The sequence below is a fragment of the Homo sapiens genome, chromosome 1 (assembly GCF_000001405.40).
Source record: "Homo sapiens chromosome 1, GRCh38.p14 Primary Assembly".
In the NCBI taxonomy this organism is placed as follows: Eukaryota; Metazoa; Chordata; class Mammalia; order Primates; family Hominidae; genus Homo; species Homo sapiens.
Genome location: NC_000001.11, coordinates 904,760 through 919,920, shown reverse-complemented (window position 1 = coordinate 919,920; position 15,161 = coordinate 904,760). Strand labels below are relative to the sequence as shown.

The 15,161-nt window shown below is 61.7% G+C and overlaps 2 long non-coding RNA genes across 10 annotated transcripts in view, besides 3 other annotated features; one reads left to right on the top strand and one right to left on the bottom strand.

Moving 5' to 3' along the window:
* Nucleotides 1-15,110, bottom strand: part of LOC284600 (uncharacterized) — a 16,209-nt gene extending 1,099 nt beyond the window's left edge. The window contains exons 1-7 of one of the 8 annotated variants that reach the window (XR_007065346.1): nt 14,960-15,110; nt 14,242-14,626; nt 13,934-14,119; nt 11,709-13,682; nt 4,450-7,976; nt 3,972-4,171; nt 1,766-2,039 (exon numbers count right to left, since the gene is read on the bottom strand). This is a non-coding gene — a long non-coding RNA (uncharacterized LOC284600). Of the gene's footprint in view, nt 1-1,765; nt 4,172-4,449; nt 7,977-11,708; nt 14,807-14,959 lie in introns of those variants that run through there. The other 7 variants (XR_007065344.1, XR_007065341.1, XR_007065343.1 and 4 more) reach the window with 7 other exon arrangements.
* Nucleotides 229-3,103, top strand: LINC02593 (long intergenic non-protein coding RNA 2593). Of its 2 annotated transcripts, none has more exons than NR_122045.1 (4): nt 229-586; nt 1,006-1,096; nt 1,806-1,899; nt 2,201-3,103. It is a non-coding gene; the product is annotated as a long intergenic non-protein coding RNA 2593 (long non-coding RNA). The 2 variants fall into 2 exon arrangements; NR_026874.2 differs by having other exon boundaries at nt 1,746-1,899.
* Nucleotides 6,230-6,730: an enhancer, noted in NCBI's record as "H3K4me1 hESC enhancer chr1:848571-849071 (GRCh37/hg19 assembly coordinates)". NCBI's record gives its function as "activates a minimal SCP1, AML or CMV promoter by ChIP-STARR-seq in primed H9 embryonic stem cells {active_cell/tissue: H9 hESC(primed)}" and the evidence as "EXISTENCE:reporter gene assay evidence [ECO:0000049][PMID:30033119]".
* Nucleotides 6,731-7,231: an enhancer, noted in NCBI's record as "H3K4me1 hESC enhancer chr1:848070-848570 (GRCh37/hg19 assembly coordinates)". NCBI's record gives its function as "activates a minimal SCP1, AML or CMV promoter by ChIP-STARR-seq in primed H9 embryonic stem cells {active_cell/tissue: H9 hESC(primed)}" and the evidence as "EXISTENCE:reporter gene assay evidence [ECO:0000049][PMID:30033119]".
* Nucleotides 15,052-15,161: a silencer, noted in NCBI's record as "silent region_3". NCBI's record gives its function as "represses an Ori minimal core promoter by ATAC-STARR-seq in GM12878 lymphoblastoid cells {active_cell/tissue: GM12878}" and the evidence as "EXISTENCE:reporter gene assay evidence [ECO:0000049][PMID:35858748]".

The following is a 15,161-nucleotide window of genomic DNA, read 5'->3' as shown; positions in this document are numbered from 1 at the left end:
GCGGGAGGGTCTGTCCCAATGGATGGGCTCAGCCAATTTCACCCTCTCCTCCCCCTGCCAACACTGCGGCCTGCAGCCTGGACCTGGCCCGGGTTGTGGAGGGGACCGGGGATGCAGCTGCCACCTGCTGGGCGGACGTGGGCCTAGGTGGTCCTCAGCCCTCATGACAGGAGCCCCCGAAGCACTGTTGCGGCACCCTCTCTGACATTGGGTGGGAGACTCTGGGAGCCGAGTGCAGAGCCAGGGCCCAGCACGAAGGCCTTGGGCTCCAGTCCGTGTGCCCCACATCCCTACATGAGTGAGGGTGGAGGGATGGTGCCTCTGCCACGGCCACGGTGCCGCCGTCCACGTCAGCTCACTCTCAGCACAGGTGCTGTGTGACGGCCTCGGGCCACACCGCTTGTTCTGAGGCCCCTAGCAGGTCGGGCTTGTGCTGGCTGCACATTGGCTGGTGAGCTTGGCGGGTCTGTGGGCACGGAGAGACCAGAACGTGCGTAACAGGCCCGATGAGGGTGCCAGGCTGTGGCGACCCCCGAGCTTCAGAGGAGAGGGGCACCAGCCGGGGGCCCTGCACAGGCAGCCTCAGGTGCGAGGAGCTGGAGCCCAGGCCAGCTGGGGAGGGGTGGGGTGCCGTGGCTGGAAGTTGCTGTTCTCAGACCTGGTTCTGAGACCCTCTCCAACTGCATGGGGGGGTCCAGGCTGGACCCCAGATGTGACGGTGTATGTGCTGGGATGGGAGCCCCCTGAGAGCAGGGCTTTTGTTAATTCACCGGCAATCCCACATGTCTGGCACGAGATAGGTGCTCAGTCAGTGAAAACCACACACGGGGTCCTCCATTGTGTCCAGGGGAGGGTGGGCCCTGCTCACAGCCAGACTCCTAGCCCTGGGCAGCCCTGCTGCCTGCCTGCTCCTTCCACTCCTACCACCTGCCCAGGTGGGACTCTGCCTGCCTTCCTGTCCCCAGTGCTCTGTAGGAGTTTGACCACAGGTATCCTCTTCATCAGAGAGAGGAAAGCTCACGATCTGGGAGAACTCCAGGCCTGGCCCAGTGAAGACGTCCTTATCTTCAGCAGACATTGCCCAGTGCAAGGGGAGGTCAGTCTCAGGAGACAGTCTCCTGGACAGTGGCGTGGCATCTGTCCTAAGGCCTTGCCTGCAGCACAGGGTGCCACAGAGGTCCCCTGTGACAGAGCCTCATGGCTGGGGCAGGCGGGGGTCGCACCTGCTCCTGCATGAAGAGGCAGATAAAGACCCACAGCATGGTCTCTGGGGTCCCACATCCCAGGTAGAGAATGACCCAGGTCGCTGGCGTCTGTGCCATCTCTGCTCCACTGACCACTCATGGGGGTCCTGGAGATCCTGACACCGGTGGCCGGGGAGCAGCAGCCCAGGCACAGGCCCCAGTGCACATGCAGATCCCACCGTGTCTGCACAAGGCCTTGCCCCAACGAGGCCTGGGTGCCGTGTGAGGGCCGGGACGCTAACACAGCGGAGGGTACCCACGCGTGAGCTGCTCTGGGGTCCCTCCCCGTGTTTCTTCCTGTAATGAAACTTGTACCCAAATGGGATATGCAGGGTTGCACTGTGCAGTCGCTGTGTGTTTTAGGGTCTCATACCCGTGTGCGCCAGCAGGACCACAGCTGTGACCGGCTGCTCCAGAAGAAGTGGGTGGGTTGAGACCCCACCGGCAGGGTCACTGGGGGTAGCAGGCCCTCTGTCAGCACTGACTTCTGTATCATGTCAGGGATTTTTAGGGCGGCAAGCTCAGGTGGACAGGCAGTTTTATTCTGTTTCCCATGTCAAGTCCAGCCCCAGACTGACTTTCTGAGGTCACAGACGGAGCCTCACCCCATCCAAGGCGGTGTCCTGGACTCCCACTGTGCTCCCCAGAGGGCAGGGTGAGTGCGTGGCATCCTTTTGGCGGGCGTGGGTGCCTCTGTGGACCTGGCGTGAGGCTTCTCTGTTTCTGAGTCTCCTATGGACCATCTGTCTTCTGTGTGGCTGCTGAGGAATCACACTGGGGTGGCCGTGCCGGTGGCTGAATGAGAACAGGACCCCCATGCTGCACAGCCCTGCTTAACGCGGGGGTGGCCCCAGAAGCGGGTGGGCGAGGCTGGGCAGCAGGGATTGGCTGAAATCATATGCAGAGCCCAAGAGGCAGGGGAAAGGCGGCAATTTCAGGGTCCCTTTGTTCGCCAGGTACCTGGGGCCCAGCCCGGGCGGCAGGAGGGACTCAGCCCCTCGCCCAGGCAGGAAGGGTCCCAAGCAGAGGCCCCTCCCTCAGGCACTCCCCAGCCCACACCTGCAGCACTGGGACCAAGACTAATAAAACACCAGCCTCACGGAAGACAGCTTTATCTTGTTGATCGGAAGTCTGCCAGCCCAATTTATGATGGAACATAAGATCTCTAAATCTGAATTTACGCTCTGTAGCGTAACGAGAGGTCAATAAGATTAAACGGGGGCTCAGGAGAGGACCAGCGTCAGGCTCACTGCGAGGTGCTGCACAGAAAACCCACAGCCAGAGCCCCTGGGCCCAGCCCAGGCAAGACCAGAAAAGGAGGGGGCAGGTGGGAGACCAGCCTGGGGCTCCCGGGAAGCCCACGGGATGGAGGCGGGAGAGCCAGGAGGCCTGGGGCAACCCTGGGACGGTTCCTGGATCGAGGAGAGCAGGGGGGTGATGAGGGTTCCCTCAGGGCTGGGGAGCCTTCTCCTGGTCTCAGACCCACCCCCCTTCAGCTCCCAAGCCCTGGGTGCCCCTGGCTCTGAGGACAGTTGGGAATCTTCCCTGAGGCAGGTTCAAGGACAGAGCTCTGACCCTGGCCCAGGGCTGCTTTGGGTGCCTATGAACTCGGCTTCTGGCTCAGAGCAGTTCCCTGCACCCCTTCCTGAGCCCTCTGTCCTCTGGAACCCGTGGGCAGGGTGAGGGACGGGTGTTCCTTCTGGGTGGGGGCCTGGGCGCCCAGCCAGCACGACGCTGGCTTGCTGAGCTTAGGGCAGACCCCGACTTCAGAATTTATACAAATAAATGCAATGAAAAGTGCTGGCAACCTGATCTGATTACAGAGTCATTCATTCTCTGGTCGTTAATAATTTGTGCAATAAAGGACTGCAGCCGCTCAGTGCGGGGGAGGCTGTGGCCCAACCTTCCCTCGGCGCCGGCCCCGGGAGCTGGAAGCATAAATTATTAGTTTCTTATCGCTGGGCCTGCCATCGCTCATGCTGCCAGGGCCTGGCGGGAGCTGGTGGCTGTTCTGCTGCCCGCCCTGGCCGGCTCAGGGCCGGCTCTCAGCCGTCGCCTGGGGCCCTTTGTCACCCCCACCCTGGCCCCCCAGGTGTGGGAGCCCCAGAGCCTGCTCAGGCCTGGAGGCTGCTGCTGGAGCCGGCAACTCTGGAAGCCAGAAAGGTGGGGCTTTAGTGCCTGTCCTCAGACCCTCAGGTAACCAAAGCCAAATTACTCCCTGTTGGAAACACAACCTCACATACCGGGCCACAGCACGGACACCCACGACAGCAGGCCACAGCACGGACACCCACGGCAGTGGCCCACAGCACGGACACTCACAGCATGGACAGCAGCCCAGAGGGACCCTTGCCCAGACCCTGACCAGGGGGAAGAGACAGTTGTGTCTGGGTTTGTCAGTCCTCTGGTTGTGGCAGGGCCCCTCTGGGTGGGACTCGGCACCTGTACCTGGGAGCACCTGCTCAGATGAGGGAGTGGGAGCAGGAACAGCGCTCATGCTCTCTCCCTGTGTCCAGGGCTGGGGCCCTGGTCTGGCGGGTAGGCATAGGGCACCTCCTGCCCTCTCATGCCCTCATACACCTGCTGCTGGGGTTCCCTGTCCCACCCCAAAAGGGAGAAGCCAAGGCTGAGGCAAGGTTGGAAAATCAGGGTGGGGACTCTGGAATCCAGACATCCCGACAGAGGATGCAGGAGGAATCGGCGTGAGCGCAGGGTAAACTCACGGACCCGAACTCTCAGATGTGCTTCCTGGGCTCAGCTTCCCCTTTCTGGAGGGCTGGGGGTTCCAGAACCTTGCCTTGAATTTGTGAGGATGGTGGGACCTGGAGGGCAGGTGGCGCAGATGGTGTGAGCCCTCACCCCAGGACGCTGTGCCCACTTCTGGCTGTGCAGCCTTGGGAAGGCTTCTGACTTCTCTGAACCTCAATCTGTAAAATGGGAATGAGAATGAAACAAGATGAAATTAACATGCATTGAGCGTGTGGGGTGGGGCAGAGACAGCCACCTTGCAGCTGGTGAGGCCCTTACAGCATCTGGTCCTGCCACCTCGCAGCTGGTGAGGCCCTCACAGCATCTGGTCCCGGAGCCCACACAGCCCTTTGCAGAGACTGCCCTACCCACGTGCAAGCGTTTCGCCCTCTTCCCACGGGCGACCCCAGCTTGGCCGCATGCGTTTTTGCTCAGAACGTCCCCACCTATGTCCCACCTGCCCTCTGGCTTCGGGAGTGCTGGGCGCAGTGGTGGCAGGTGCCTCGGTGCCCTTGGACTTGCCCGGTCGTCTGTTGCTTCTGAGGCGGCCCCGTTGATGGGTGCTCCTTCTCTTCTGGGTGCATTTTCCTTTTCCTGCTTCCTCGCATGCCTGGTGATTTTTGAATGGGTGACAGGGATTGTGAATTTTGCTGGGTGCTGACTATTTTTGTAGCAAAGCTGAGAAAAGCTTACTTTGCTCAGGACTCCAGGAAGTTACTTGGAAGCTGTTTGGTCCTTTGGGGTCTTGCTTTTAAGCCCTGCTGGGAGGACCAAGGCAGCTTGTAGTCTGGGGCTGACTGTGCCCTCCTTTACCAGGGCACGGCCCTGCTTGGTGCTCTGCCCAGGGGCTGAGGTGCCCCAGCCTGGCTGGTGGACCACGGACCTTCCACGGTTCCCTCTGGTGATCTCGGGTGGTTCTCCTCACCTTCTGTAGTTGCCTTTCTTTTTTTCTTTTTCTTTCTTCTTTTTTTTTTTTTTTTGAGACGGAGTTTTACTCTTGTTGCCCAGGCTGGGGTGCAGTGGTGCGATCTTGGCTCTCCATAACCTCCGCCTCCCGGGTTCAAGTGATTCTCCTGTCTCAGCCTCCCGAATAGCTAGGATTACAGGCATGCGCCACCATGCCCAGCTAATTTTGTATTTTTTTTAGTAGAAATGGGGTTTCTCCATGTTGGTCAGGCTGGTCTCGAACTCCCGACCTCAGGTGATCCTCCCACCTCAGCCTCCCACAGTGCCGGGATTACAGGCGTGAGCCACTGCGCCCAGGCCTGTAGTTTCCTTTCATGTGAAAATGCTGATTGTGGCTCACTCTTTACCTGCTGTCACCTCACACCTCAGCCTCCCCAGACTCCCAGCTTGGTCTCCTTCCCTGAAGGAGACCCCTGAACACACCTGGGTCCCCACGCCTGCACCACAGCCTGGACACTGGGGGCAGTGAGCTGGGCAGTCGCGGGGCTCCGCCTCCATTGTTCCCCAGCCTTGCTCACCTGGTGACCCTGGCGGGATGGGGGTCTGGCTGCTCCCTCCTGCCTGGACGTCTGTCCCCACTGGTGTGCTCACGACAGTGCCCTGCATGCCTGCGGGGCTCTCACAGGTGTTTTCTGAGTGGCCTGGGTGGGGCCCGGGCAATCTGCTGGACAACAGACCCTCAACCCATCCCCTGCCAACCTAGCTCAGCCCTGAGCTCCTGGCAAGGGATGAGACAGCCTGAACTTCAGCCCAGGGAGGGGTGCGGGGGCTGCCGTCAGGTCCCTGCTGTTCCCTGTGCACCGAAGGTGGGCCACCTGGTTCTTCCTTCTCCAGGACCTCAGGCAGCCCCTGTTACCCAAGGTGGCGGCTCCACTGTGGGGGCCAGGACAGGGGCGGAGGGTGGATAGCATGCCCACTGTGAATGCCCCGGCTGGGTCCTTGCCTCTCCAAAGGCTTTGTCACCAGGGCCCAGGTGACAGGAGGCTGTCATTGTGAAGGAGATTTAATCTTAGAAAACTCTCAGGAGAGCAGTGAAGCCTCAGGGTGCTGGATTACCCGGAAGTGCACTCTGGGCTGGGGGCAGCAGCCGCGGTCATAACACGTGTGTGCCACACCAGGAAACCTGTCTGCTAACGTGTGCACATGGGCAGGCTGGCAGCACCTGGCTCTGGCTTGCTTGGAGTGGACGTTGGATCAGGTGGCCCGGGTCTCAGCCTGACACTGCCTGGCACTGAGGACAGGGCGTTGCTGACACTGCGGGCTCAGGGTGGGGGTTTGTCTCTACGGCTGACCTTCTGGCCGAAGGAGTGTATGGGGCATGGTCTCAAGCAGGTCCCAGGATCCCTGACCCTTGGCCAGGCCCAGGCCTTGGCTCACGGCCCTCAGATGAACAGGCAGAGGGGGTCAGGACGGGGTGGACCAGAGCAGGCAGGGGGCCCTGGACAGAAGGGGAGATAGAAGGGGGCATGAGGGGCTGTCTCCTTGGTTTGGGTCTTAAACAGCGTGTGGTTTTTCTCTGTTTGAGGGGCAGCCTGCACCCAGAGCCTCCAATGGGCATGGCGTGTTTTGAGGGTGCAGGTGAATCTCTTTACCAGAGGCTCCCCGGGGACAGGGCCCATTCAGAAGGCCACCTCTCTCAGTGCAGCCAGCAGCAGGGCAGAGCTCTGGGGACCCCAAGCCGGAGGCCCACATGGGCGGGAGACACTGCCTCCAGTCACCCCTGGGGAGCCAGCGTCTAGGGTCACTCCCGGTGTGGCTCCCTCCCTGCCAGGCACAGTTCACAGAGGCAGCTGCTTTGGGAAGTTTGGTGCCAGACCCCGCCAAGCCCCTGCCCGGGGCATCTCCTCCCGCACCCTTCGCCGCCATCTTTCAGACGGCTGCTCTCCTGAGCCAGGCCCGCGCGCCATCTCCTTTAGGCTCCTGCAGTTCCTCCGCTGGCCTCCACGCTGCCCCAAGCAGGAGCGTTGGATCTGTCATTTCCTGACGTTAACGGTTAACCCGAGGCTCTGCTGCCTGCAGGATGAACACACTTTTCATTATTTCTCCGATTCCTTCAACCGTCACTGAGCCTGTCTCTGTGCCAGGCGCAGAGCTGCAAACCCAGGAAGACAGTGGTGAGCAGTTCACACTGCCCTTCTTCCTGCTGTGGAGTGCAGAAAAGGAAGCTCCAAGCTTGCACCTGGGGCGTGCAGAGCCACCTTCTGCCAAAGGCTCCCGAGCCTCATAGTTCAGGAGGGGCAGGAGGGGCTGATCGCCCTCACCCCAGAACAGCGCTTTGGCGATCCTTCACGCAGACACCAGTCCCCTCTCTCTATTCCTGTTCATCCTTGATGCCAATGTCAAATGCCACTTCCTCCACGAAGCCTTCCTGGATCCCTCCAGTCAGAATGAGTCCATTGTCCTTGAGCTTCTGAACCCACATCCTGGCCTTTCCAGAACTGGGCCTGCTGGCTTACACAGGAACCCTGCCTTCATAACTGGACTGTAGGCCCCACAGGGGTCTCATCTCTGCTCCAGGGGCCAGCCGGCACTCAGGAGGTCTTGGAAATATGTGTCCCGATGGCTCAGCACTTTGCAATCACCATCTCAGGTGACCCTGCAGCCACTGTGAGGTGGGTGCTGGTCCCACCTCCTTCACAGGTGCCAGCTGGCAGGTGGTGGAGGTTTGAGGCCTGATCCTCCGGACTTCTGTGGTTTAATCAAAGGAGGCCACAGCTGCTCTGGGCCATGGCTCCTCCAGAGCTCATCACTGTGATTATTCATTAACCCCTTAGTTATCAGCTAGGACTTCACAGAGATTCCCGGGCTGAAAGTGAAAGAAAGGAGGGGACCCAGGAGGACCTGGAGGAGGCGCTGGGTGCTGTCCAGCTGCCTGGGCCTGAGCCGAGAGCTGCTGATCTCTGGACATCTTAAGTTCCAGGGCTCCAAAGGCTGCTTTGTCCTGCGGACGCACGGCCATGGGTGCACTAGGTGTTTGATCATTGACAATGTAAAGTTCCTTATTCTCGGTTTTATCCTCTGTAGAAATGAGGATAAAATACTTGGCTTGTACAATTGTTGATAAATTCTAGATGTTGACCAGCATATAGTGGCTGCCCAGTAAATTGTAAACACGATTGTTTTTGATGATTTTAAATAACTATTGAAAATCTATACACTATACAAATCCAGCATTGAATCTGTAGAGAGTATGCCCCACCCGTGCACCCAGGAGCTGCCTGCTTCCCTCCCTCTGCACGAGGCTGAGCTCCCAGACACCCCATCTTCCCTGCACCCCACTCAGTGGCTCCCCCTGCTCTTCGATTCCTTGGGTCCCTTCTCCTGGTGACATACCTTCTCCACTCTGCTGCCTGCCTAGCGCCCACCCTGGCCACCACATCCAGACCCCACATCCCAGATGGCCTCCCTCAGCCCCCAGCCCCCGCAAGCACATGCACACAGAATCGTGCACACGTGTGCTTTTACCAAGGGCACACATCAGACACGTACAAATCCACTGACTTGCCATTGCCAGCTGCGTGTGAGCACAAAGGCGCAGCTCACCAGGTTTATCTGGCCCAGGCCTGGGAACCCTGAGCAGGGAGCCCCACCCCCTGCCGCGGGCTGGCTCTAGACTGATGCCATTTATCACTGGCTGAGGATGAGTAATTTTACCGTGAACACAGTTCAGGGTGATAGATGAGGGAGTGGGGGCAGGTGATCGCCGTGCTGCCTGCCCGCCCCAGAGGGAGGCTGGAAGGAAGACTCCTGCCTGTTTATAACGGGATAGTGGCCCAGGAGGGGCACGTGGACGGAAGAGCCCCTGTCAGGGAGGCTGGCACAGCCACAGTGGGGCGGGGAGGCAGAGGACGCAAGCCTGGTCTCATCCATGTCCCGGGCCTTGTGAGGACCATGAGCAGAGCCCACTCAGAGAGACGTGGCCATCCCCCAAATCCTGCCCAGGGCCGAGGTCCCAGGAGCCCTATGCTGTGGGAGGATGGGGACAGGCGAGTGTGTGGCTCCAGTGTCCAGACAGAAGAAAAGGAGAGTTTCCCCTGAAGACCGCTGCCATCCTCTCCCGGAGTCCTGACCTCACCTTTGGGTCATAGTCAAGCTCTGTGAATTGACATCTCTTCAGCAGTGCCGGCCTCACCGCAGGTGCAGCTACGCTGCCCACAATAACAAGGAAGACTTTATCTGCTGGCCACGCACGTGTGCAGCGGCAGGGCTGGGTTTTCTGGAGCCTCTTCCACACTGTGGCCTGCTCAGCTGCCCACGGAGGGACGGCCTGGCAGCCTGGCGGGCACGCCCACCTCTAAAGTCCTGGGCCTCAGTGGGGAGGCTGAGGGCAGGCACAGGGTGCCCAGGGGGCGAGTTCCATCCCTGGCTGTCTGTTCAGGGCCTGCCGGGAGGGAGCCTGAGGGGCCCGGCTGGTTACCAGACACCCCCCTAGCTGCTCAACCAGGACCCCTCCAGATGCCGCCGCGAAACTCCCCAGGTGTGGCAAACAAGTCCCGGGCCCTCAGGGGTGGTCGACCAGTCTCCCCGCCCCCGGTGACTGATCAAAGCACGACTCCCACCCCAGCTCCAGGGACCAGGCAGGTCGGGACCGACAGAGGCAGCCCCGGGAGACCCCGCTGGGGCCGGGAGGGGCCCCCCGGGCTGGCGGCGCCGTCAGGCACCCGCAGTCACTGCGGCTGACAGGAGATGGGGGCCCCCCTCTCCGCGGGCGCGGCCTCGGGGCCGCCGTGGGCAGCAGAGGCGCCAGGGCGTCCGGGAAGTCTGGGCCCGCAGCTGCCCCCGGGTCCCGCGCGCGCCGAGCCAATCCCGAGCCCGTCAGTCGCGCCCCCGCCAACCCCCCCACCCCCATCCCCGCCGTAACCCTTCCCTCTCCGCGGCGCGGCCGGGTGCTGGCGCGGAGCGTGGGGGCCCCGGTCTCTGCTCAGGCAGAGGGCGCAGCTGCGGGTCCCAGCGCCAGGACCAGCCCGGCCGCGCCGCCGCCCCTGCCCAGGACCCCCACCCGCGCCGGGCCCACCCTCGGTCCTTCCTCCCGGCCTGGAAGATAGCAGTGATGACACCACAAACGACCCCCGCATATACCAGCAACGGTGCGCCCGGGGGGCCTGACCCCAACCCCCGCATATACCAGCAACGGTGCGCCCGGGGGCCTGACCCCGACCCCCGCATATACCAGCAACGCCCGGGGGCCTGACCCCGACCCCCGCATATACCAGCAACGGTGCGCCCGGGGGCCTGACCCCGACCACCGCATATACCAGCAACGGTGCGCCCGGGGGCCTGACCCCGACCCCCGCATATACCAGCAACGGTGCGCCCGGGGGCCTGACCCCGACCACCGCATATACCAGCAACGCCCGGGGGCCTGACCCCGACCCCCGCATATACCAGCAACGGTGCGCCCGGGGGCCTGACCCCGACCCCCGCATATACCAGCAAAGGTGCGCCCGGGGGCCTGACCCCGACCACCGCATATACCAGCAACAGTGCGCCCGGGGGGCCTGACCCCGACCACCGCATATACCAGCAAAGATGCGCCCGGGGGCCTGACCCCGACCACCGCATATACCAGCAACGGTGCGCCCGGGGGCCTGACCCCGACCCCCGCATATACCAGCAACGGTGCGCCCGGGGGCCTGACCCCGACCACCGCATATACCAGCAACGGTGCGCCCGGGGGCCTGACCCCGACCCCCGCATATACCAGCAACGCCCGGGGGCCTGACCCCGACCCCCGCATATACCAGCAACGGTGCGCCCGGGGGCCTGACCCCGACCCCCGCATATACCAGCAAAGGTGCGCCCGGGGGCCTGACCCCGACCACCGCATATACCAGCAACAGTGCGCCCGGGGGGCCTGACCCCGACCACCGCATATACCAGCAACGGTGCGCCCGGGGGCCTGACCCCGACCCCCGCATATACCAGCAACGGTGCGCCCGGGGGCCTGACCCCGACCCCCGCATATACCAGCAAAGGTGCGCCCGGGGGCCTGACCCCGATCACCGCATATACCAGCAACGGTGCGCCCGGGGGGCCTGACCCGGTGCCCTTCATGAATCCCGTGGCCCAGGAAATGGGCTGAGCAGAATCCCACCTGCTGCAGGGCCAAACCCCCCTCCCTTCCCCCCTGCCCCTCATCCCTCCCTTCCCCCCTGCCCCTCATTCCCTCCCCTCCCACCTGTCCCCTCATCCCTCCCCCATCCCTTCCCCTCCCACTTGTCCCCTCTCCCCTCCCACCTGTCCCCTCATTCCCTCCCCCATCCCCTCCCCTCTCCCCTCCCACCTTCCCCTCATCCCCTCCCCCTACTCCCCTCTCCCCTGTCTCCTCTCCCCCACCCCCTCCTCCCCTCCCACCTGTTCCCCCATTCCCTCCCCCGTCCCATCGCCTCCCCCTTTTCCCTCCTCTCCCCCGCCCCTCCTCCCCCTCCCCTCCCTCTGTCACCTCCCCTGTCCCTTCCTCCTTTCCCTCTTCACCTTCAGTATCTTTGCCTCCTCCTCCCTTTGCAGACACACTGCACACAGGCCTCTCCCAGGCCCTGCTTTCCTTTGAACCATATCTTGTCTCTTTTCCCTTTTTCAGGGAAACTTCCAAAGAACTGGCTGTGGCGGACACCCTATCTTTCTGGCTCTGTGACCTTCCCCTTCCAGCTGCTGCCCCCACCAGCCTGCACCCCTGTTCTGAGAGGCCATCCGCACCTCTCGGTGCCTGCCCTCCTGCCCGCCCTCCTGTGGGCCTGGCCTGCTCCACACCTGCTGTCCACGAGGAGGACCGGCTTGTGCTGCCCTCCGACTTGGCCACACTGGTTCCTGCTGCCTGCAGCTTCCATTCTAACAGGTGTGGGGCTGATCACGAACAAATCCACTAATGAATAAATCAGAAAACTTGTAGGTAGTTATCTGTGGAGAATTAAGGTGATTGTCACTGGGTCAGTCTGGGTGTCTAAGGCCCCATCCTGACAGGGGAACTGTGAGCCTCGCCTTGGCCAGAGGGAGACCCTTCAGGTGGAAGGAACAGCCTGGGAAGTCCCGGGGGGCTTGGCGAGCAGGGGGCAGGGAGCCAGTGATGGGCCCTCCTCCCAGATCGGGGAGGGTCTGTACTCTCTCGGCTGGTCAGAAGGACCGGGCAGGAGGGAGGTGAAGAGGGTGTTTCTTAGCCCTGCGGGATCCCCGAGGAGGGGAAGTTTTCCTGAAAAAGGGAGGGTCCCATGGAGGAAGAGTCAGCTCCAGATGCTCCCTAATCCCAGAGAACACAGACTCCAGCAGGTAAAATCAGGTGCGCCCACAGCCTCACCTCTCCTCCTTGTCCCTTGAGGGTGGGCAAGGAAACAGACAGTGACCCCAGCCCCTCTGGCCAGTGCAAGAGGCTGCAGGGCCTGACATTCTCATCATGGAAAGAAGACTTTTTTTTTTTTTTTTTTTTTTTTAGGAGACACAGTCTCCCTCTGTTGCCCAGGCTGGAGTGCAATGGTGTGATCTCGGCTCACTGCAACCTCCACCTCTTGGGTTCAAGCAATTCTTTCACCTCAGCCTCCCCAGTAGCTGGGATTATGGGCATGCACCACCACACCATGCTAATTTTTGTATTTTTAGTAGAGAGATGGGGTTTCACCATGTTGGCCAGGCTGGTCTTGAACTCCTGACCTCAAATGATCCGCCCACTTTGGCTTCCCTAAGTGCTGGGATTACAGGCGTGAGCCATCATGTCCAGCCAATTTTTTTTTTTTTTAAGATAGGGTCTCACTCTGTCACCCAGGCTGACGTGCAGTGGTACTGTTTTGGCTTGCTGCATCCTGGGAAAGGAGAGTGTAACAGCACTTTAAGGAACAGAAGCCTTTCAATGGCCAGAGAGTGACAGAAAAGTCTTAGGGAGGTAGGGGAAAACGAGAGGCCTGGGAGCCGGGCTCCCGGGACGGCGGTGGCTCAGCCTTCTCTCCTGCGGAGGTGCACCCAGCCCATGCTCCCTGCACTTCTGGCCTCCTCGGGTGTGGTGAATGAGTGTGCTTAAAGGGGAAGCGACAGCCCATGCTCCCTGCACCTCTGGCCTCCTCGGGTGTGGTGAATGAGTGTGCTTAAAGGGGAAGCGACAGCAGACTCTGGCACTGGCTGTTCTGTCTGTGGCTAAGGAGAATGCCCGGGACGTGTGCTGCCTGCAGGGGTGGCAGGACACCAGCTGCAGAGACACCTCCTGTGCTGCCCTCCGGGGTGGGCTCCAGACTCTCTTCCCGGCTCCTGTGCACTTCAGGTGCGGGGGGCCAGCTGAGTTGAAGGGGAGAGGCAGCTGAGTTTCCGGCACTGTCCTAGCCGGCTCTCCTTCATGACCACAGAGACCACCTTGCTCAGAGAGCTGCCCAGGGAGCTGCTGACTAGGGACCCCCACAATTTTGCTGAGTGAGAAAGGGCTGAGGGTGAAAAGCAGGCAGGTCTGAAAGCCAGAGGGCATCTCTGGTTGCACACAGGATGCTCTCACCTCCAGCAGGAGGGTAGCAGAGCCCAAGGGACTAAACATGGAAGAAGGTGAAATACTCAACCAAGGCCAGAGGCCAGGGTCCTGGTTAGGAAAGCTGGAGGCCCTGGCGGACGCGGTGGAGACACCTGGGCAGACATCTGAGTCCCCACTCTTCCTGGAAACTCTGAGCCTATGCAATCAGCTCCTCCTTGGGCACTGGGCCTGAGAAAAGGCCAGCTCAACGGCACATGCTGGGCTGCTGCAGGACACAGCTAGTCCTGGCAAGAGGGTGGGTAGTGAGGAGGGCTTTGACCCAAGAAGATGGCCCTCCCGGGGCTGCCACTGAGGAGACTGAACATGCTAAAGGCCAAGGTCTGCTGTGGAGGCAGGGGTTGAAGCTCCAGGAGGCCCAGAAGGAGCGGGGCCAGCCTGGCAGCAGGCCAAGGGCAAGAGTGCCTGGTGGTGTGGATCTGGGTGGGGGCTTGGTGGGCCGGGTCAAGGGCAGGGCTGGGGGCCAGAGGGGTCCTACCCGTAGTTCAGGGAGATGGGAGGGTGGGCTTAGTGAGGATTTCAGACGTGGGCCTTCATGGTCTCCTGGGGGGTGGACGAAGCTGGTCGTGGTGGAGCCTGGGTGAGGGCAGAGGTGGTACACCCCAGAAGACCCTGCTCCAGGCCGCGGTGGGGTGGGCCCTGCAGCCAGCTTGACCTATTTATTCTATTGAGATGAAATTCACATAACAAAATTAATGACGTTAAAGCAAACAATTCAGTGGCATTTAGCGCTTTCATCTTGTCCTGCAACCCTGACCTCGACCTCGTCCCAGAACACGTCCTCACCCTGAAGGGGAACCATACACGTTAAGCAGTCGGTCCCTGTTGCCCCCTCCCGCGAGCTCTGGCAACCACGATGTCTTTTCTTTATCTGTGGATTCCCTGTTCTGGACATTTTCACGTTTCCCAGGCTCGTCCCTGTCGCAGCGACCGCCTGGGGCTGATGTTCCAGCTGCGCACTGGGCCGCCCTTTGCTGTGAACATTTGCCGCCGGCACGCGCCCAGTCTTCAGCTCTCTGGGGAGCGCCCGGGAGGGGAACTTCCGGGCCTGTGGGAACTTCGTGCTCAACTTTCTGAGGAAGGTCCTTTTGCACCGCGGCTGCACCCGCCCCGACAATGCGCGAGGGGGTCCAACGCCTCCATCTCCTCGGCAGCACTTACGTCCGCTTTTCTGAAATCACAGCCATTCTAGTGGATGTGCCTGGCTGGGTTTATGTCTGTTTTCTCGGTGAACGTGAACGGGGGTTTCGGGCACAGGCGGGGACAGCAGTGAGGAATGGGCGGACGCCCGGGCCCCCCTCACTGGGTGCCCTGCCGGGGTTCCCTGGGACGCGGTGGGGCGGGGAGGGGACCCAACAGCCTCCCCCGCCACGAACGTCCCCAACAGCCTCCCCCGCCACGAACGTCCCCAACAGCCTCCCCCGCCACGAACGTCCCCAACAGCCTCCCCCGCAGCCTTCCCGCACCCCCCGGCACCCCCGACCCTCCGGCCCCCTCCCCTCACCCGCCTCCCCGCGGCGGAGTCCGGCGACGCTCAGAACCGAATTTCCGCGGACAGATCCTCCCGGAACGTGAGCTCTTGACTTTGGAGCCCAGGAAAGACCCCGGCGCTCCGGGCACGCGGCCGTCGTGGCCGCGCGGCTCTTTGTGTTTGCGGGAGGCGGCGGCGCGAGGAGCTGTGGCGCCCCCTGGTGGCGGAGTGCGGC